The sequence below is a fragment of the Homo sapiens genome, chromosome 12 (genome assembly GCF_000001405.40).
Source record: "Homo sapiens chromosome 12, GRCh38.p14 Primary Assembly".
NCBI classification, from domain to species: Eukaryota; Metazoa; Chordata; class Mammalia; order Primates; family Hominidae; genus Homo; species Homo sapiens.
In genome coordinates this window covers 65,970,306-65,992,336 of record NC_000012.12, presented here as the reverse complement: position 1 = coordinate 65,992,336, position 22,031 = coordinate 65,970,306, and the positions used below count along the sequence as shown (strand labels likewise).

General features: G+C 37.9%; 2 annotated features.

The window, feature by feature from the left end:
* Window positions 8,265–8,836: a silencer, noted in NCBI's record as "S1 fragment used in the reporter construct". NCBI's record gives its function as "represses activity of a beta-globin enhancer-driven SV40 promoter in transfected K562 erythroleukemia cells {active_cell/tissue: K562}" and the evidence as "EXISTENCE:reporter gene assay evidence [ECO:0000049][PMID:30886051]".
* Window positions 8,394–8,688: a silencer, noted in NCBI's record as "tiled region #11483; HepG2 Repressive DNase matched - State 12:CtcfO". NCBI's record gives its function as "represses a minimal TATA promoter and a strong SV40 promoter by Sharpr-MPRA in HepG2 cells {active_cell/tissue: HepG2}" and the evidence as "EXISTENCE:reporter gene assay evidence [ECO:0000049][PMID:27701403]".

Here is a 22,031-nt window from a genome sequence, read left to right as displayed (position 1 = left end):
CACCAGACTCCTTTCAAACTCCTGGAGAGCAAAAGATGTCTTTCTCTGAGTCGTATTTCTAGCTCCATGCCCAACCATTCCCCTAGCCCCACATAACTTTATATCCAACTAGGTCAAACGTACTGCATTTCACAGAACATGGCCACCCAGCTTTGCATGTGCTGTTCTTGTGCTCTGAATGCCCTTCTTCCATAGTCTGATGGAGAGCTCACCTACTGATGAGCTCCTAACTGCCCTTCATGACCCTATCCTCGGTGAAGCTTTCTCTGAACCTCCAGACTGACAGCACCTCCTGAGTGAAGCTTTCTCTGACCCTCCAGACAGAGTTAATCACAGTCTTCTCTGTGAACAACGAAGCTGTCTGGAATATTTATAGGGTCTAGGCAAGAGCACCAATACCCAAATACCAAATGTTTAAGAAGTTATAAATCAAGCTAACCCTGGTCAAATAAAAGATGTTCTCTCCTACTTCCTTGTCAAAAATACTATTATAATATCAGACAGAATAAAAATATGAGTAAATGCATTGCTGATTTCATTGGCAAAATAACAAAGATTATTAAATGGAATTGAACAAGTATTATTAAACATTATTTAACTTACAGGTTGAAAATAATATATATATATAATTCATACATTGTTATATGTTAGTATGTACATTTTTATATAGTCATTCTATAAAATAGATTTTTCTTGACTTTGCAAAATCATTTGTTATGTTATAATGAGTTTTTCATCGAATGTGTGTTACATTGCCATTAATGATCTAAAGAATTAATAAAATATATTTAGTGGATATAAAATTGAATGTATCTTATAAAAATATATTAGAGTAAATGTCAAAATTATAAAATTAAAATTATTTTGGTGTGTTTTCAAAAAAGTTATTTCTTCTATTTAAAATAACCTACAAAATTGAAAGGCAAAATATAAATACATGTGATTATCATAACAAAATATATAACAAAATTTTAAAATTATTTAAATAAAACTTGTCCCTCTCCAAAAACATTCACACCAGTGGATTGATGCCCAGGTGTCTGAGGTAGGCTGATTCCCTACCAGTAAGAAAATGCAACTGATCCCTTAACAGAGCTCGTGTTCAAAACTTCATTCTGCATGACTCTGCCTTCATCTCCTAATTTTCATGTATTTAAATTTAGTTTTTTGAAAAGTTAATCACATTTATCAAATATTTTATAGAAGTAAAGCTTTTTGCAAATCTAATGTTCAGTGTTCATCTTATTATCAGTGTTAAGAATCAATATTACATTTCACACATTAGTTAGACTGAGACCTACATATATAAATTTAAAAGTAATGTGATTTTTTTAAGTTACAAATTGTTTTCTTCAGAAGCCATATGCTTTTTGAATTGTTATCTCATTGAATTATTAAGTCGAATAGTTATATCATTATCTTGAATAGCTCATTGGTAAGCATCTCCAAGGTCACAAATTGGAATATCATGAGAAGCAAGAAACTTGATGCTCAGTACTACTGGGAAATGATGTCATTTATGTAGAAAAAAGGTGTGACATGCTCATTTGGTTTTCTGTCTCACCCAAGTGTTTCTACTGCTCAAATCATCTTCTTACTCAAAGCAGTGTTAATCTCCAGTGTTGGCAATGGTGCAACCTGTACTGGGGTGTCCAATCTTTTGGCTTCCCTGGGCCACATTAGAAGAAGAATTATCTTGGGTCACATATAAAATACGTGAAACACTAACAATAGCTGATAAGGTAAAAAAAAAACACAAAAAATTTCATAATATTTCAGGAAAGTTTATGAATTTGTGTTGGGCTGCATTCAAAACCATCCTGGGCTACTTGTGGCCCATGGGCTGCAGGTTGGACATGACAGTCAGAAACTTACAAGGATATGGGGCAAGTGATATAGAGAAGTGTTTCCCTGGGAGCTGGAAGGATGATGTTAGCCTTTAGAGCAGAAGGATCCTAAGTTAACAGAATTCATGAACTCTTTAATAAAATATGTGTGGGTTGCAACATGCTGCTATTACATATTGTTACCTAAATGGAACCTTCTCCTTCTTCCCGTGACATAAAACCTTGACATTATCCTGGACTCCTTTCTTTCTACCACAGCCTGTATCAAACCCATCTCCTAATCCTATTGGCATTAACTTCAAAACTAATTATTGAATCTGACCATGTATTCACCTTCTCCCACTACCATTGTAGTCCAAGCCACTGTTACCTTTCATCTCTTGTTGCTGCACTGTGCCTCCTGATTCATCTGTTTCTTCTCTTCCCTCAACTCCCTGCTTCCTCCTAAAGTCATAACAGTGACAGTCATCCTCTTAAAATATAAGTAGTATCATGTTGATCCTGTGCTCAAATCTTTTCAATACCTTTATGTCACATTTAGAATAAAATCCATGGTCTTTGCAGTGGTCACAAGGCTGTCTCTGACTAGTCTCCTGGCTACCTCTCTTTCTTCATCTCTGACAGTTTACTCCTGGCTTACTGTATTCTAGCCACCTGACAGTTCCCTCTCAAAAATCTAAGGCTCTGTTCTCTTTTGCGTGGCATTATCTGACATTTTTGACTTTGGGGGGTATCAGAAATTACTTTGCATTATAAGAGAGGTTTGGTATGTAGTAACTAGGTTGGAAATATACTTTTGGGGTTAGCTAATGGCGATTATGGGGAGATACTTAGCTCTGCATGTTTGGATAAGAGAAGCATGCTCTTGGCCACCTAGAAATTATGGAAATGTCCCCACCCCCAACTGAGAGATAAGAATCCCATGGGAGATGAGCTGATCCCCTCTTTTGGGGATCCAGGATCTGTTATAAAAATGGGAATGGGACCCTTACTTTCTGGAGATCTGATTTGCCTTCCAGCTGTGTCTGTTTATTATATTGGGCTGTAGAAACTGCATGCTTTCCTGGTCCTGTCTCTCCAAGGACTCCACCCTAAAGCCAGTAATCCAGTTAAAAAACTTAAAAACTGGCAAAGGAAAAATCTTACAACTACTGGATCTTCTTCTGTCTATCTGTATAGTTATATATATGTTGTATGTGTGATGTTTATATAAAAGAGCTCTAACGAATTGGCTTAAAGAAAAATAAGCATTTAAAGAAAATTTTTTGAAAGAAAAATAAAAATTTTAAGGCTTTTTAGTTCATGTAACCTTAGTAATCTTTGGGAAATAAAAAGTTTAAAAGATTATTGGTAAAATAAAGACTTTTGTTCTAAATTAGGCAGGTCAGATATTAGGTTTGCTAAATGCTTTAAGGTCATAAACTGCTTTGACTTTTGAAAATTGTTCAATTTACCTACCTTGGAGACATTAGATTCTAGATAAGGCCTGGGAACATGTGGAATTAGCCATGCCCCTTAGCTATGCAAAGAAGATTATAAAGAAAAGAAATTTTATGAAAGAAAGGATCTTGTATGGTAAATTCTTGTCCTAAAGTAAAATAACTAGTTTAAAAAAGGGATGTTTAGGACAAGTGAGAAAGTCCAAGGATGTTGTAGATGATCTGTGCAAGTCATGAAAAGACTTGTGAAAGGAAATTTATGCACCAAAAATAAAAGTTGCTAAGAGTTACCATTATCACATGTAATTGAGATACTGAAAAAACAGTTTTATATTCAAGGTGTGTAAGGAAAGTGAAATATGCTTTTGGTAAAAAAAAATTATAAGAAGGCATAGGAATGTAAATTTTTACCCAGTTTAGAGGGTTAAAGGATTGTTTTAAATTAAATAAGACAAAGCTAAAGGTTTGGGCCAGGTGCGGTGGCTCATGCCTATAATCCTAACACTTTAAGAAGCCAAGGCATGCAGATCACTTGAGGTCAGGAATTCAAAGACCAGTCTGGCCAACATGGTGAAACCCCATCTCTACTAAAAATACAAAAAATTAGCTGGGTATGGTGGCATACACGTGCTATTGTGGAGGCTGAGGTGGGAGAATTGCTGGGAGGTGGGAGAATTGCTGGAACCTGGGAGGCAGAGGTTGCAGTGAGCCAAAATTGTGCCGTTGCACTTCAGCCTGGGTAACAGAGTGAAACTCTGCCTCAAAAAAAAAAAAAAAATGCTAAAGCTTTGAGCAAGTTGTGGAAGGTGTGTAAAATTAATTGTAAAACGTTCTGTTTGTAACCATATTGGCTAAAGTTAAAGGGGGTATTATCCAGTTTTTCTGTAAATTGAACATTAAAATAAAAGCATAACAGGTTTTTCTTAGAGTACTGATCTGGTCTTTAACAAAAATTGTAAAGGGTTATAAAGGTTTATGAGAATCTCACCTTTTGGCCAAACTGATTAAATTGATAAATTTGTCTATAAGTGTTATTAAAAATTGGGGTTGACATTAATAGTAGATTAATGGAAGTGTGAAGTTTGGTTCCCTCTCAAACAAAATTTTCAGGTAATATCAAAGGATAATGAAAGACTTTTGTTTGCCTTTTGAATAAGGCAAACAAATAAACTACTGAATAACTACTGAATAAACTACTGAAAAAAGAAGGGAAAGACAAGGGACAGATTATTTGGAAAGCTAAATCTTCCCTCTATCAATATGTAAAGGTTTTTGCCTTAAAAATTTTTTTAAACTCATTATTTTGGCTAAATGAATGGCTTGTGGTGACCTGCAATTCTATCTCATAATATCAAGTGTTTTAAAGCTTTAACATATTGAAAGACTTCCCAAAATCAAATTTCAGCTGCAAAATTGTCTTTTCTGACCTCTAACTTTGGGATGCTACATAGGGCCCCTGAAGCAACTGAAAAAGAGGTAAACAAGATTATTTGGTATGTTAAGTTACATAGGAAGTATTGTCAAAATAAGAAATAATGTTTATAGGTTTTAGGTTATACATCTTTAGGTTACATTCTAGTGTATATCATCAATATGTCCCAAAATTGCATGGGATTTCTAAAATTCTAATATGTCTATATGCTATCAATTATAATTATGGTTATTATGTTGTTATTGTAGACCACAGAAAGAACCAAATTTCCTTGTCAATTGTATTTTTTACTATGACTATTTAAAGTTATTTCCAGTTAATTGGTTAATGCTGGTGCAGTTTCTGAAAACTTCATAAGCATACAAAATCCTAGAATATGCTGATGTTTTTTAGGAGGTTCATGAAAGGATAGAAAGAACCTTGAAAAGCACTCCTGAATACAGGTTTCTGATAACTTTAGAATCATATCATTTGGACTGGGTAAAAATTCCTGGAATGTTACAGAAAAGACTGACTGGGTTATAAAACTACTAACCCATGTAGAACAAAAATTAATTAAATACCAAGAAAATACTTTGCCAGATTTTCATCCTAAATCAGCCAATACTGAAATTGTTTATATATGCAATTTGAATGAGCTCCGTGGTCTAAGTCAAATTACCTGTGGTAACCTATCAGTTATCAGTGCTATGCACCTAAATTGGAAAAACAACTGGTGTTCAAGAGAACATAAGTCCAATGTTAAGGATGGATACTTGGAGGACCAGGACAGCTGCCTTGTCCTTCCTGAGCCCTTAAAGCTTTTGTTATTAAAAGTCCTGCATTCCATAACTCATCATGGAAAAGATAAAATAATCAAAATTAAATATATTGGTGTGGTAACTTATAAATTGATAAATAGTGTATAACCAGTGTTTGGTTTGTCAAACCCATATTCCTGGGAAAACAATCAAAACTTCAGGTACATTTGGTTACCTGATGGTCCATTTAAACATTTTATAAAGGGATTTCATTCAATTGTCATTTTCAATGCATGTTTTCTGGTTATAGAAAAGTTCTCTCATGCAAGAGGACTGATGTTGTAACAGTACGTTATTATGCTACATTGTAATTTCACCAGCTAAAGAAAGCTTTTTATGTTTTACTGAGGACAGTCAACTCCTTCACAAACTAGAACCTGAAAACGGGATCTTCTGAAAATATCAGGGAAAGACTGCCCTTGCCATTTACACTACAACAAGACTTTGGACACTTGAACTTTGGGTTCATAATGTCACAACTGAGAAGGGTCCCTCCACACTCTTGGAACTGTACACCCGCTGGAATCCTTAAGGTAAAGCTAACCAGGAAAGTTTCTCTCCAGAAGATGGCATCCTTGATGTGAGCAGCTTTTCCCGAGATCATGGATCAAGACTTCTCTACTCTCATGAGACTCTTATCTTTGAATTTTTTCTCCTTGTTTATGTGTCTATGAACAATAGAAATGAAAAGGGGGTCTGTTGTGTGCACTTATGGGTTATGCTTTTATTTGTGAAGGGTTTTGCAACCAGCCGTATACATGGATAACCTTATACTTTGATAGATAAAAAAATGAAGGCCTGGCTGGGGCAATGGCTCACGCCTGTAATCCCAGCAGTTTGGGGGCCAAGGTGGGTAAATCACAAGGTCAGGGGATCAAGACCATCCTGGCCAACATGGTGAAACTCCATCTCTACTAAAAATACAAAAATTAGCTGGGCGTGGTGGTGCACCTGTAGTCCCAGCTACTTGGGAGGCTGAGGCAGGAGAATCACTTGAACCCGGGAGGCAGAGGCTGCAGTGAGCCAAGATTGCACCAGTGCACTCCAGCCTGGGCAACAGAGTAAGACTGTATCTCAAAAAAAAAAGAAAAAAAAAGTCCTAATGTAGATAAGAAACTTTAGTTGTACATATGTTGCCTCATAATCACTCAAAAACAGAACATTGGTTCACTCTTCTTAACCCACATCATGGGTTAAAGAGAACATTGCCAGGAGGCCTTCACTCTTCAAGAGAGGCATCATTTGTTAGGTTCTTTTTTCATGGCTTGGAATAAAACAGACAATGATTAGAAATGTATCCCTCATGACAGGCTCTGTAGCAGATTCTACTATAAAGGCTATGGTTACACAACAGACTTAAATTCTCTTCTGAAAGTTATGCTAAATAATAGAATTGCTCTAGATTATTTAGTGGCTGAACAGAAAAGTATCTGTGCAGCTGCTGGCCCTCGTGGCCTATGGAGAAATACATCAAATGTAGATTATAGAGATTCACTTGTAGGGGATTAACGAAGAGACTGCTTAGTTAAGTGAGTAGACTCTTTGTCTAGCTCATTCTCTAATCTATTTGATTTTAGGTGGTTTGGTTTGTGGGGACCCTAGTAAGGAGCATACTCCAAATTCTTGGTATTATCCTCCCCAAAGTCATAATAACAGTCTCCCTGGCATACTGTATTCTCTCGAAGGTTTTAAATGTTTGCATGCAGCCATCTCTAGAATGTCAAATGGTCTGTCTTCACTGCAATGACAAGAGCTGAAAGAAGTGTTCAACCGTAAGGACACTGTAACCTATGAATGACATGCTGAGACTGGAAACCCAAAATGATGGTAACTGAGTGTGGCACTAAGACCCTAAGTTTTGGTCACACTCTCACCTAAGTGAGAACCTGACGCAAAAAGGGAGATTTTTTAAAGCAAAATTACAGGAGGCCATTGTTTTGGACTGAGTTCATGCACTAGGCCCCAGCAGACCAAAGCAAACAAAAATGGAGTCGCTCATGCTACATGTGATATAATCAAACTAAGATTTTAAGCAAACACATACATCTTAGAATAGACCAGGTTTCATTTTTCTCCTGTAAACAGAATATTCCAGCAAAAGGAGGTAACTTGTACTCAAGCCCTTGTTCCTACCTTTGCAAAACTCACTGTTCTACTGTTTCCTAGTGGGTTTCAAGACCAAATAAGTACATTTACAATGGTGATAGTGACATCAATGACTAATGTTTTGGTTAATGCCTCAAAATTGAGAAAAATGACCAAAAGTGGGGATTTGTTAAAGCAAACTAAATATTGCCTGAGAAGGACTCTGTACTTCTTTATTTAAGTCCTTGTGGGTGAACTGCAACCTAACTTAATAGGCCGACAAGATTGAAAACCTAACTTAGGAATATGCCCTGAAACTATAGCTGAGACTTGGCCAATCCCAGCAGCCATACTTCAACCACTTGTACACTGCTGAGTGTTCAAACTGTGTTCAAATAAGGCAAACAGCAATCTGTAACCAATCCAGCAGTTTCTGTACCTCACCTCTGATTTCTGTACATCACTTCCTTTTTTTTTCTCTATATATTTGTTCTGACCATAGGCATTCCTGGAGTATCTGTGAATCTGCTGTGATCTTGGGGGCTGCCCGATTCATGAATTGCTCATTGCTCAATTAGACTCCTTTAAATTTAATTCAGCGGAAGTTTTTGTTTTAACATAGGTAGTCAATAAATAGGTCTTAAATTCATGAAAGAAGACTGCCATGGTTGTATACATGGATTCATCCCTCATGAATTTGGTAATTGGCTTGGTTTATATACATATTACTAAACAGAAATGGATTGAAGTCTTTACTTTGGGGCTAGTTCTTGTTTTTCCAGAAATTGCCAATTAAGATAGAAATACAGACAAAGAAGGAAAATAGGTTAGCCCTTAATCATCCATTAAAATAGCATCAGGAAAAAAAAAGATCAGTTCCCATATTGACCAGAAGAGGGCAGAGTCCCAGTGGTAATGTGACATAGGACAGGTGTTTGATGCTGCAGGAAGGTTTCAGAACATATGACACTGCCTAGGGAAGGTAAGCATAAGTGTCAAAGATAGCCACGTGGAAGAAAGAGAAAGAAATAATCTCCAGGAGGGGATGGGATAGGAGATCTTAATAAATCTTAATAAATTCTATTTCCTTTACTGAAATTCATCTTCCTTCCTCAAACATTATTGAGCACCTACTATGTGTCGGGCAATGTGCCTGGGACTCACAATACAGAGACAGATATACTTCATGTGGTGTCTGCCCCAGGAGCTTACATACTAGTAAGGGTTACAGAAAATTTTTTTTTTCCTTATGTGTTAGACTTCTTTTTTCTTTTCTTTTTTTTTTTTTTTTTGCCACATTTTCTTTAAATATATATATATATATATATATATATATATATATATATATATATATATATATATATATTTTTAAATTATACTTTAAGTTTTAGGGTACATGTGCACAACGTGCAAGTTTGTTACGTATGTATACATGTGCCATGTTGGTGTGCTGCACCCATTAAATTGTCATTTAACATTAGGTATATCTCCTAATGCTATCCCTCCCCACTCCCCCCACCCCACAACAGGCCCCGGTAGGTGATGTTCCCCTTCCTGTGTCCATGTGTTCTCATTGTTCAATTCCCACCTATGAGTGAGAACATACAGTGTTTGGTTTTTTGTCCTTGCAATAGTTTGCTCAGAATGATGGTTTCCAGCTTCATCCATGTCCCTGCAAAGGACATGAACTCATCCTTTTTTATGGCTGCATAGTATTCCATGGTGTATATGTGCCACATTTTCTTAATCCAGTCTATCATTGATGGACAGTTGGGTTGGTTCCAAGTCTTTGCTATTGTGAATAGTGCTGCAAGAAACATATGTGTGCTGTGTCTTTATAGCAGCATGATTTATAATCCTTTGGGTATATACCCAGTAATGGGATGGCTGGGTCAAATGGTATTTCTAGTTCTAGATCCTTGAGGAATTGCCACACTGTCTTCCACAATGGTTGAACTAGTTTACAGTCCCACCAACAGTGTAAAATTGTTCCTGTTTCTCCACATCCTTTCCAGCACCTGTTGTTTCCTGACTTTTTAATGATTGCCATTCTAACTGGTGTGAGGTGATATCTCATTGTGGTTTTGATTTGCATGTCTCTGATGGCCAGTGATGATGAGCATTTTTTCATGTGTCTGTTGGCTGCATAAATGTCTTCTTTTGAGAAGTGTCTGTTCATATCCTTTGCCCACTTTTTGATGGGGTTGTTTGTTTCTTTCTTGTAAATTTGTTTGAGTTCTTTGTAGATTCTGGATATTAGCCCTTTGTCAGATGAGTACATTGCAAAAATTTTCTCCCATTCTGTAGGTTGCCTGTTCACTCTGATGGTAGTTTCTTTTGCTGTGCAGAAGCTCTTTAGTTTAATTAGATCCAATTGGTCAATTTTGGCTTTGGTTGTCTTTGCTTTTGGTGTTTTAGACACAAAGTCCTTGCCCATGCCTATGTCCTGAATGGTATTGCCTAGGTTTTCTTCTAGGGTTTTTATTGTTTTAGGCCTAACATTTAAGTCTTTAATCCATCCTGAATTAATTTTTGTATAAGGTGTGAGGAAGGGATCCAGTTTTAGCTTTCTATATATGGCTAGCTAGTTTTCCCAGCACCATTTGTTAAAAAGGGAATCCTTTCCCCATTGCTTGTTTTTGTCAAGTTTGTCAAAGATCAGATGGTTGTAGATATGTGGTATTATTTCTGAGGGCCCTGTTCTGTTCCATTGGTCCATATCTCTGTTTTGGTACCAGCACCATGCTGTTTTGGTTACCTTGTAGTGTAGTTTGAAGTCAGGTAGCGTGATGCCTCCAGCTTTGTTCTTTTGGCTTAGGATTCTCTTGGCAATGCAGGCTCTTTTTTGGTTCCATATGAACTTTAAAGTAGTTTTTTCCAATTCTGTGAAGAAAGTCATTGGTAGCTTGATGGGGATGGCATTGAATCTATAAATTACCTTGGGCAGTATGGCCATTTTCATGATATTGATTCTTCCTATCCATGAGCATGGAATGTTCTTCCATTTGTTTGTGTCCTCTTTTATGTCATTGAGCAGTGGTTTGTAGTTCTCCTTGAAGAGGTCCTTCACATCCCTTGTAAGTTGGATTCCTAGGTATTTTATTCTCTTTGAAGCAATTGTGAATGGGAGTTCACTCATGATTTGGCTCTCTGTTTGTCTGTTATTGGTGTATAAGAATGCTTGTGATTTTTGCACATTGATTTTGTATCCTGAGACTTTGCTAAAGTTGCTTATCAGCTTAGGAGATTTTGGGCTGAGACGAAGGGGTTTTCTAGATATACAATCCTGTCATCTGCAGACAGGGACAATTTGACTTCCTCTTTTCCTAATTGAATACCCTTTATTTCTTTCTCCTGCCTGATTGCCCTGGCCAGAACTTCCAACACTATGTTGAATAGGAGTGGTGAGAGAGGGCATCCCTGTCTTGTGCCAGTTTTTAAAGAGAATGCTTCCAGTTTTTGCCCATTCAGTATGATATTGGCTGTGGGTTTGTCATAAATAGCTCTTATTATTTTGAGATACGTCCCATCAATACCTAATTTATTGAGAGTTTTTAGCATGAAGGGCTGTTGAATTTTGTCAAAGGCCTTTTCTGCGTCTATTGAGATAACCATGTGGTTTTTGTCTTTGGTTCTGTTTATATGCTGGATTACGTTTATTGATTTGCATATGTTGAACCAGCCTTGCATCCCAGGGATAAAGCCCACTTGATCATGGTGGATAAGGTTTTTGATGTGCTACTGGATTCAGTTTGCCAGTATTTTATTGAGGATTTTTGCATTGATGTTCATCAGGGATATTGGTCTAAAATTTTTTTGTTGTTGTGTCTCTGCCAGGCTTTGGTATCAGGATGATGCTGGCCTCATAAAATGAGTTAGGGAAGATTCCCTTTTATTCTGTTGATTGGAATAGTTTCAGAAGGAATAGAACCAGCTCTTCCTTGTACCTCTGGCAGAATTCGGCTGTGAATCCATCTGGTCCTGGACTTTTTTTGGTTGCTAAGCTATTAATTATTGCCTCAATTTCAGAGCCTGTTATTGGTCTATTAAGAGATTCAACTTCTTCCTGGTTTAGTCTTGGGAGGGTATATGTGTTGAGGAATTTATCCATTTCTTCTAGATTTTGTAATTTATTTGCATAGAGGTGTTTATAGTATTCTCTGATGGTAGTTTGTATTTCTGTGGGATCGGTGGTGATATCCCCTTTATCATTTTTATTGCATCTATTTGATTCTTCTCTCTTTTCTTCTTTATTAGTCTTGCTAGTGGTCTATCAATTTTTTTGATCTTTTCAAAAAACCAGCTCCTGAATTCATTGATTTTTTTGAACAGCTTTTTGTGTGTCTATCTCCTTCAGTTCTGCTCTGATCTTAGTTATTTTTTGCCTTCTGCTAGCTTTTGAATGTGTTTGTTCTTCCTTCTCTAGTTCTTTTAATTGTGATGTTAGGGTGTCAATTTTAGATCTTTCCTGCTTTCTCTTGTGGGCATTTAGTGCTATAAATTTCCCTCTACACACTGCTTTAAATGTGTCCCAGAGATTCTGGTATGTTTTGTCTTTGTTCTCATTGGTTTCAAAGACACCTTTATTTCTGCCTTCATTTCGTTATGTACGCAGTAGTCATTCAGGAGCAGGTTGTTCAGTTTCCATGTAGTTGAGTGGTTTTGAGTGAGTTTCTTAATCCTGAGTTCTAGTTTGATTCTACTGTGGTCTGAGAGACAGTTCGTTATAATTTCTGTTCTTTTACATTTGCTGAGGAGTGCTTTACTTCCAACTATGTGGTCAGTTTTGGAATAGGTGCAATGTGGTGCTGAGAAGAAGGTATATTCTGTTGATTTGGAGTGGAGAGTTCTGTAGATGTCTATTAGGTCCACTTGGTGCAGAGCTGAATTCAATTCCTGGATATCCTTGTTGACTTTCTGTCTCGTTGATCTGTCTAATGTTGACAGTGGGGTGTTAAAGTCTCCCATTATTATTGTGTGGGAGTCTAAGTCTCTTTGTAGGTCTCTAAGGAATTGCTTTATGAATCTGGGTGCTCCTGTATTGGGTGCATATATATTTAGGATAGTTAGCTCTTTTTGTTGAAATGATCCCTTTACCATTATGTAATGACCTTCTTTGTCTCTTTTGATCTTTGTTGATTTAACGTTTTTTTTTTTTTTTTATCAGAGACTAGGATTGCGACCCCTGCCTTTTTCTGTTTTCCATTTGCTTGGTAGATCTTCCTCCATCCCTTTATTTTGAGCCTATGTGTGTCTGCACATGAGATAGTCTCCTGAATACAGCACACTGATGGGTCAAGAAAATCTCCCAGAGAATAGAACAAAAACTCAAAGACAGAGAAAGATAGAAAAGAAAATCCAAGCATTGTAGAGGATTAAACCAGCAAGTTCAACATTTGATTAATAGGGTATCCAAAAAAGTAGAAGAGAGAAAATGAAGGCAATGAAGCTAAAAACCTTGAAAAAGGATTAGACGAATGGCTAACTAGAATAACCAGTGTAGAGAAGTCCTTAAATGACCTGATGGAGCTTATCAAAGAAACAACATCAGAAAATTCCCAAAGTTAGAGTCTTGTCAAATATCAACTTCTCAGAGAGGCATTTCATGACCAAAGTATTTAAGCTGTAGTCCTCTCTAGCCAGTGCTCCATATCCTCCTCACCAACTAAATTTTTCTCCATTGAACATGTAACCCTCTGACATGTTTAATGTCTCTCTTCCCCACTAGAATGTAAACTTCTTGCAGGCAATGAATTTTTGTCAGTTTTGTTCACTGCTGTATCCTCAGTGCCTAGATAAGTGCTTGGCACTCTAGGTGTTCAATAATTATTTGTTGAGTTGGCCAGGCATAGTGGATCATGCCTGTAATTCTAGCACTTTGGGAGGCCAAGGTGGGCAGATCTTTTGAGCTCAGGTGTTTGAGACTAGCCTGGGCAACATAGTGAGACCCCGTCTCTACAAAAAATACAAAAAATTAGCCTGGTGTGATTGTGTGTTCCTGTATAGTCCCAGCTACTTGGGAGGCTGAGGTGGGAGATTGGCTTGAGCCCAGGAGGTGGAGGTTGCAGTGAGCCAAGATTGATCATGCCATTGCACCACAGCCACAGAGAGAGACCCTGTCTCAAAATAATAATATTAGCTATTATTATTTCTTGAGTGAATGACTAAAGGAAATGATGCAAGAGACCTAAATCCTCATCTGCCATGGAAAGATGTCAATTGATAATGCCTGGAATGAGTTAATCAATAAAAAGGTATAGTCTATAATTTAAAAATAGGAAAGCAAACACCTGATGGAACAGCTGAAAAAGTGAAAGGCAATTATTTGTGTCTGAGGAATAAGAAGAGAGGCTGTGGGCAGGAGGAAGCAAGTCACCATTGTTTTTCATTATAAGATTTTGTGAACTACTTGTTTTTTTCATCATGTGCTTGTATTGTTGATTTTAAAAGAGTGTACATGTCTCAGAAAACATTTTCTGTTTATTTTCTGTAAAGAGGTCATATCAACAATAATAATAGCTAACATTTATTGAGCATTGAACACTTCTTACATGCCAGGCATTGTGCTAAGCTTTATGTGGATTATTGAAGGATGTATTATATCTCTGTTGTCATCTTGCATGGATTGAAAACCTCTGGATTTAGCCTAAAAGTAGAGAAAAACTCAATCCAAAAATATAAATATTTAGTAACATAAACTCAATTGGATAAATTCTGCTTATCAATCTTCATAACAGGTATGAATTTGATATGCCTATTCATGTCCTTAAAATGCAAGGAAAAAGCATCATACAATACTTTTAAGAATATCATTTGTATTTACTAGGGCATTCTTGTAGAACTGCAACAGTGCTTGTCAACAGGATTTGTTGCAACAGGAGCTATAGAAAGTGAAGGAAAAGTTGTGTATACACTCTTTTGGAAACATCTGTTGGTGTCCTCTGCTTGCTTTCCCACCACCCTTCTTCCTACATTTATCTTCCTGTCTGTTCATCTGGAGTATAAATGACCTGTTTCAGGAAATTCATGAGATTTTCACAACATGAAATGGCTTCTGACAGTCATTTCTGAGCCTCAGCTCTGATCCGTGCCACTCTATCTGTGCCCGGAGTTGTGCTGGAACATTGTCATCCGCCAGTTAGTTGTTCAAGAGCACACGGAACCAGATACCATGCCAACTCATTCTTCAGTTATTTCAGTGATGTAATTTAAACATGGATAGTTGTTTTAAAAAATCTTTTTAGCACAATTCTTTTGTTTGCATGGTGCTGGTGTGTAGACTATATTATGGATCTATTGGGAACATCCTCCACTTCCCTTTTCCTTTTTGCTTGGCTAACTCCTTCTCATCTTTCAGGTTCAGTTTAGCTGTGCCTTCCTTAGAGATGCCATTCTCAACAATGACGCCACCTAAATGGGGGATGCTCTAACTCCCACAGTTCCGGGTGCATCCCTCTGGCATTTTCCTTCATATACTCTATTATCACTGCTGTTTGTTTTCTTTAAATTTTTTTATTTTGAATTTTTGTGGGTACATAGTAGGTGTATACATTTACAGCGTACATGAGATACTTTGTTACAGGCATGCAATGTGAAAGAATCACTTTATGGAGATGGAGTATCTATTCCCTCAACCATGACATTTGTTTTCAGCTTCTCCTGCTGGACTTTATTCTTCATGGGTGCAGAGATCGGACTATTTCTCTTGGTAGTTCCAATACATGGCATAGTGCCTGGAACATAGTAGGTGCTCAGTAAACATGTTGAATGAATGAAAGAAAGCCACTGTCACTGTGTACAGTTCCACTTTAGTTTGCACACACTGATTATGTGAAAAATGACAACCTAAACAACCCTCAGATGTGTTAAACAACTGCTCAGTTAAAGGCTAATGAGTTAAAAAATATTGGCCTAAACCCAAAAGTTAAGGGAAAGAGATAGAGAGAAGGTTATGCAGATTTCCTGTGTTCCATAGGAAATGAATATTTCCTAAGCTTTTTTCCTCCAGCCATTTCCTAAGTAAATTGAGAATGCACCATATAATTTTACAGCCCCATGAAAGAAGAAAGTAAGATGATTTCAGAATGGTTGGTGCCACATGCTATAACCTAGCCTCTTATTTATGGCTTGACAAATAGGTGAGGGAAAGTTGTTATATTTTCCTATTTCTTCAGAGCCTTTGAATAATAGTTAACAAAGACCACATTGAAAAGTTAACTTGCCTTGTCACTCATGAGATCAGGTTCTGGATTATGTGAAGCAAAAATGTTTTCAATACAGTTCCTTCTCCCTGCCGTCCACTACCCTCTCCACTGGGGCAGAAGAGGCCATAGGAAGCACCATAGCTTCTCCACGCCTTTTTTTTGTTTGTTTTTTTGAGAGAGAGTCTCGTTCTGTCACCCAGGCTGGAGTGCAATGGCGTGACCTCGGCTCACTGCAAACTCCGCCTCCCAGGTTCAAGCGATTCTCCTGCCTCAGCCTCCCGAGTAGCTGGGATTACAGGCATGCACCACCAGGCCTGGCTAATTTTTATATTTTTAGTAGAGATAGGGTTTTGCCGTGTTGGCCAGCCTGGTCTCAGGTGATCTGCCTGCCTCGACCTCCCAAATTGCTAGGATTACAGGCATGAGCCACCGTGCCCAGCCTCCTCCATGCTTAGTTCCTATCTCTCTTCATTGGACCAGAGCTAATATGCACTGAATGCCCTCACAAATGATATTAAAAACTTTAAAGGAAATTTTATTATTATTATTATTATTATACTTTAAGTTCTGGGATACATTTGCAGAACATGCAGGTCCGTTACATAAGTATACATGTAATTCTAATGCTATCCCTCCCCTGGCCCCCACCCATTGACAGGCCCCAGTGTGTGATGTTCCCCTCCCTGCGTCCATGTGTTCTCATTGTTCAACTCCCACTTATGAGTGAGAACATGCAGTGCTTGGTTTTCTGTTCCTGTGTTAGTTTGCTGAGAATGATGGTTTCCAGCTTCATCCATGTCCCTGCAAAGGACATGAACTCATCCTTTTTTATGGCTGCATAGTATTCCATGGTGTATATGTGCCACATTTCCTTTATCCAGTCTATCATTGATTGGCATTTTGGTTGGTTCCAAGTCTTTGCTGTTGTGAACAGTGCTACAACAAACATACGTGTGCATGTGTCTTTATAGTAGAATGATTTATAATCCTTTGGGTATGTACCCAGTAATGGTATTGCTGAGTCAAATGGTATTTCTGGTTCTAGATCCTTGAGGAATCGCCACACTGTCTTCCATAATGGTTGAACTAATTTACACTTCCACCAACAGTGTAAAAGCGTTCCTATTTCTCCACATCCTCTCCAGCATCTGTTGTTTCCTGACTTTTTAATGATAGCCATCCTAACTGTCATGAGATGGTATCTCATTGTGGTTTTCATTTGCATTTCTCTAATGACCAGTGATGATGAGCTTTTTTTCATATGTTTGTTGGCTGCGTAAGTATCTTCTTTTGAGAAGTGTCTGTTCCTATCCTTTGCTCACTTGTTGATGGGGTTGTTTGTTTCTTGTAAATTTGTTTTAGTTCCTTGTAGATTCTGGATATTAGCCCTTTGTCAGATGGATAGATTGCAAAAATTTTCTCCCATTCTGTAGGTTGCCTGTTCACTCTGATGGTAGTTTCTTTCGCTGTACATAAGCTCTTTAGTTTAATTAGATCCCATTTGTCAGTTTTGGCTTTTGTTGCCATTGCTTCTGGTGTTTTATGACATGATTGTATATTTAGAAAACCCCATCATCTCAGCCCAAAATCTCCTTAAGCTGATAAGCAAATTCAGTAAAGTCTCAGGATACAAAATCAATGTGCAAAGATCACAAGCATTCTTATACACCAATAACAGACAAACAGAGAGCCAAATCATGAGTGAACACCCATTCACAATTGCTACAAAGAGAATAAAATACCTAGGAATACAACTTATAAGGGATGTGAAGGACCTCTTCAAGGAGAACTGCAAACTACTGCTGAAGGAAATAAGACACAAACAAATGGAAAAACATTCCATGCTCATAGATAGGAAGAATCAAGATCGTGAAAATGGCCATACTGCCCAAAGTAATTTGTAGATTCAATGCTATCCCTATCAAGCTACCATTGACTTTCTTCACAGAATTAGAAAAAACTACTTTAAATTTCATATGGAACCAAAAAAGAGCCCATATAGACAAGACAATCCTAACCAAAAAGAACAAAGCTGGAGGCATCATGCTACCTGACTTCAAACTATACTACAAGACTACAGTAACCAAAACAGCATGGTACTGGTACCAAAACAGATATATAGAACAATGGAACAGAACAGAGGACTCAGATATAATGCCATACATCTACAATCATCTGATCTTTGGCAAACATAGGAAAAACAAGCAATGGGGAAAGGATTCCCTATTTAACAAATGGTTTTGGGAAAACTGGCTAGCCTTATGCAGAAAACTGAAACTGGACCCTTTCCTTACACCTTATACAAAAATTAACACAAGATGAATTAAAGACTTAAGCGTAAGACCTAAAACAATAAAAACCCTAGAAGAAAACCTAGGCAATACCATTCAGGACATTGGCATGAAAAGAAATTTTAAAGGTGGTTCTAAAATTTTAATCTGAGGCTAGTTGAAAGATAATTGTTTAAGGAGGTGTGACTGTCTGTGATCATTGAGAAATTGGGCAAGATTTCATTTTTTTATTTCAAGTTATGTGACAGGCTCAGAAACAACAAATCAAATAGAAAAGAATTCCTTGGAATGGACTCAAGGATATACAAATGAATAGTAAGAAGAAATAGAGAATGATTCTAGTTTGATGGTTTTATGTGTGAAGCTAGATTTTCAGTTAACATAACTCTAATGGAAAATGCATAAATCAGGATGCTATTAATCATGATTGTAGGAGGATTTTCATTGAATGATGTAAGATTAGACTCTGGCTCAATGTCCATTTCCATATGGCAGTTCTTCCTTCTGTAGGAAGAATACTTCTATGCAGAATGTCCTTTTGATTCAAATGGAGCTCCAGAGAAATATTTAGTTAAAAGCTGAAACCATGTCAGTTACAAATCTATATCTTGTTTTCCATTATGACCAGAATAATAGCACATTTTCTTACACTGATCCATGTGTCATGATACCTGATGTTTCATTTACTTTCTTCACTAGCTCTACTTTCTTTACTAGTCTCTGGCTAGGATTTTTAATTGTTATCACTGTTATTATTATTATTACTATATATGGTTAATTATGAATGACTTTGTATTATCTTAAATTTAAGAAAAGACATATCCTGCATATATGTAACTTAAAGTAATATTATACATATATATGCATATATATGGATATATGCATATATACACATCTACATGTATATATGTGTGTGTATGTATATGTGTGTGTATATATATATATATACACACACACACACACACACACATACTGAAATAAACAAGCTGTCTCATGAAACTCCACTGCTGCCTATGGGGTTGCTATTTTGTTATTTGTGGGTTTCAAACTTCAGTAGGTTCTGTTATCAGCCCAGGAGTTTCCTCATTTCTCTAACTTGGAAATATACTAGGAAGCTGTGCACACGTGAGATATGGCAGACCCTGAAAGGTCCCTCGATTCAGTACTCTTTCCTCTACAGGCTCTTAATCTAAATTCTCACCTCTGTGAACTAGTTCTGTTGTGTTTAAGCTTTGTGGACATCTTAGTATTACAGAATTATAGAATTTTAAATCTAGAAACAATATTAAAGGTCAGTCTATAGATAAGGAGATAAAGGTCAACCACCAAGCTCAGTCTATAGGTAAGGAGATGGGAACTCAGAGTTTGTCCAAGGTCTCAGCCTCTGAGAGTTGTAGAACCATGGCTAGAATAGGGTCTTCTGAAGGTCATTTTTATCGACTTTCACTGCGTTCCTGTATTTATTGATGCTTTAGTTTACGGCGTCATCAGGATTCTTCTGGGTGAAAGTGAGAGAAACCCAAATCTGACAAACTTCAAGAAAAGAAGGAACTTTATTAGCTCGTGTAACTGAAAACCTCCAGGCACAAAGAAATCCGGTGGCTTAAATAATGTCTTCAACACTTGGTCTGTCTCCAAATTTTGTCTCTGCTTTCCTCTGTGCTGGATTCATTGTCTGACAAGCTCATCCAATGCTGTGGCCACAGGCCTTCCTCCTCACCACCCTTCCTTCAGAAGCTACAGGCATGCAGTCTACCAGCTTCAAGTCTACCAGAGTGAGAAAGGCTGACTTTCCTACCAGTCCCAGAAAAGTGTGACATTAAACATCATGGGCTTGCCTTGGGTTGTGTGCCTCTGTTTGAACCAATCAGAGGGTCAAAATATATCCACTGGTCTGAACTAAGTCACATACCCTCCCCTGCCACCAGGGATTGGATGTCAGCTCCAGCTGAATCTTACAGGCTGAGAGTGAAGAGAGAAATCTCCTGAAGAAAAAAAAATTTCTGTTAGCAGAGGTAAAATAGATGCCGAGTAGTTCAGAGAAACAACTCTCTGTTCCCAGGGCACACTATACCTGAGACACTGTGTTAGGTGTTTGTCTATGGAGCATCTGTTGTCAATTCATTTGTTAAGCAGATACTTTTTCAGGGTGAACATGCTGGTAGAAAGTTGAACTCATACAAATGGGGCAGAGGAGGGATTACATTGGCTGTGTTGAAGAAGTGATGGGGTGGCAACAGAGAGAGGCTTGGAGTGCAGAGCTTTGCACAGGGGAGGGAAAGTAAGTTCTGAGTGAAGGTAAATAGGGTGTTGAAGGACAGGAGGGCTCTAGGAAAAGGCCAGGTGAGAGGATGCTAGAAAGAATCTGTCTGCTAAGTGCAGAGGAAACTGGGTATGGTTCATTTCATTCAAGCAGTTTTGGAAGAGCAACTGTGTTCCACCACTGTGCCAGGTGCTAGAAAGACAAAGGTGGCAAGACAGACCAGCTCTCATGCTCCACAGGGGCACATCACACAATTGGTTAATGACAACTGCAGTAATTGCTACCAGGGAGAATTCTAGGGTGTTACAAGAGAATATATTCAATATATTTTTGAATATATTCAGTATTCAACAATAGCAAAAATGGGATCAACTGAAGCATCTATCAACAGATGATTAAAGAAAATGCAGTGTATATATACAACCATAAAAAAGAATGAAATCATGTCTTTTGCACTAACATGAATGGAGCTTGAGGCCATTATTTTAAGTGAAACAACTCAGAAATAGGAAGTCAAATACCACATATTCTCACTTATAAGTGGGAGCTAAATAATGTGTACACGTGAACATAGAGTGTGGAATGATAGGCATAGGAGACTATAAAGGGTGGGGGGTGGATGATGAGAAACTACCTAATGGGTAAAATGTACATTATTCGGGTGATGGCTACACTAAAAGCTCAGACTTCACCACTATGTAACAAAATTGCACTTGTACCTCTTAAATTATACAAATGAAAAAAGAGAGAATATACACTAGGGCAGGGTCTCCAAACTTTTTGGCACTAGGAACTGGTTTCATGGAAGACAACTTTTCCACGGACCGGGATGTTGGGAGTGAGGGATGGTTTCTGGATGAAACTCTTCCATCTTAGATTCTCATAAGGAACGCACAACCTAGATCCCTTGCATGCATAGTTCATGATAGGGTTTGTGCTCCTGTGAGAATCTAATGCCACCGCTGATCTGACAGGAGGTGAAGCATGGGTGGAAGTGCTCCCTTGCCTGCCGCTCGCCTCCTGCTGTGCAGACCAGTTCTTAACAGGCCACAAACTACAAACTGGTAAAGGTTTGGTAATGGGGTCTGGCGACCCTTGTACTAGAGGACCCCACTGTATGTCAGAGTGGGGAGTAAGAAGGCAGAGAGGCTACCCTAGAGGGAGCAACATTTCAACTGAGATCTGAAGACTGAGGAGGAGGTTGGCCAGAGTGGAAGAGAGGCCGAGGAGGAAAAGAATTCCAAACAGGGGATACTAGAGCCTGGGAAAAAGTGCTCAAGTTTATTGGAAAGAGAAAGGTACATTCCAAGCCACTGTAAGGCAAGTGAGCACAAAGTAAGGAAGACTGAGAGAGCTCGGGCTCAAAAAGGAAGAAGGAGCCAGACTGTGTCAGGCCATTTGGGCCATAGGAAAGATTTTGAATTTTACTGAGACCATTAATTTTGTGATTGGATTTCTGTTGTTCAAAAGATGACACTGGCTATGGATAGAGAAAAAATTGAAGTGGGTAAGAGCACACGGAGCATAAAAATGCAGTGGTGCTTGAACTGTAGTAGTGGCAATGGTGACGAAGAGAAAGCAGACACATTCACGAGATATTTGAGGACCTTTTCTTGTAAAGATGACTTCTGTAATAGTTGGACGGGCAGTACAATATATCTTATGGATTT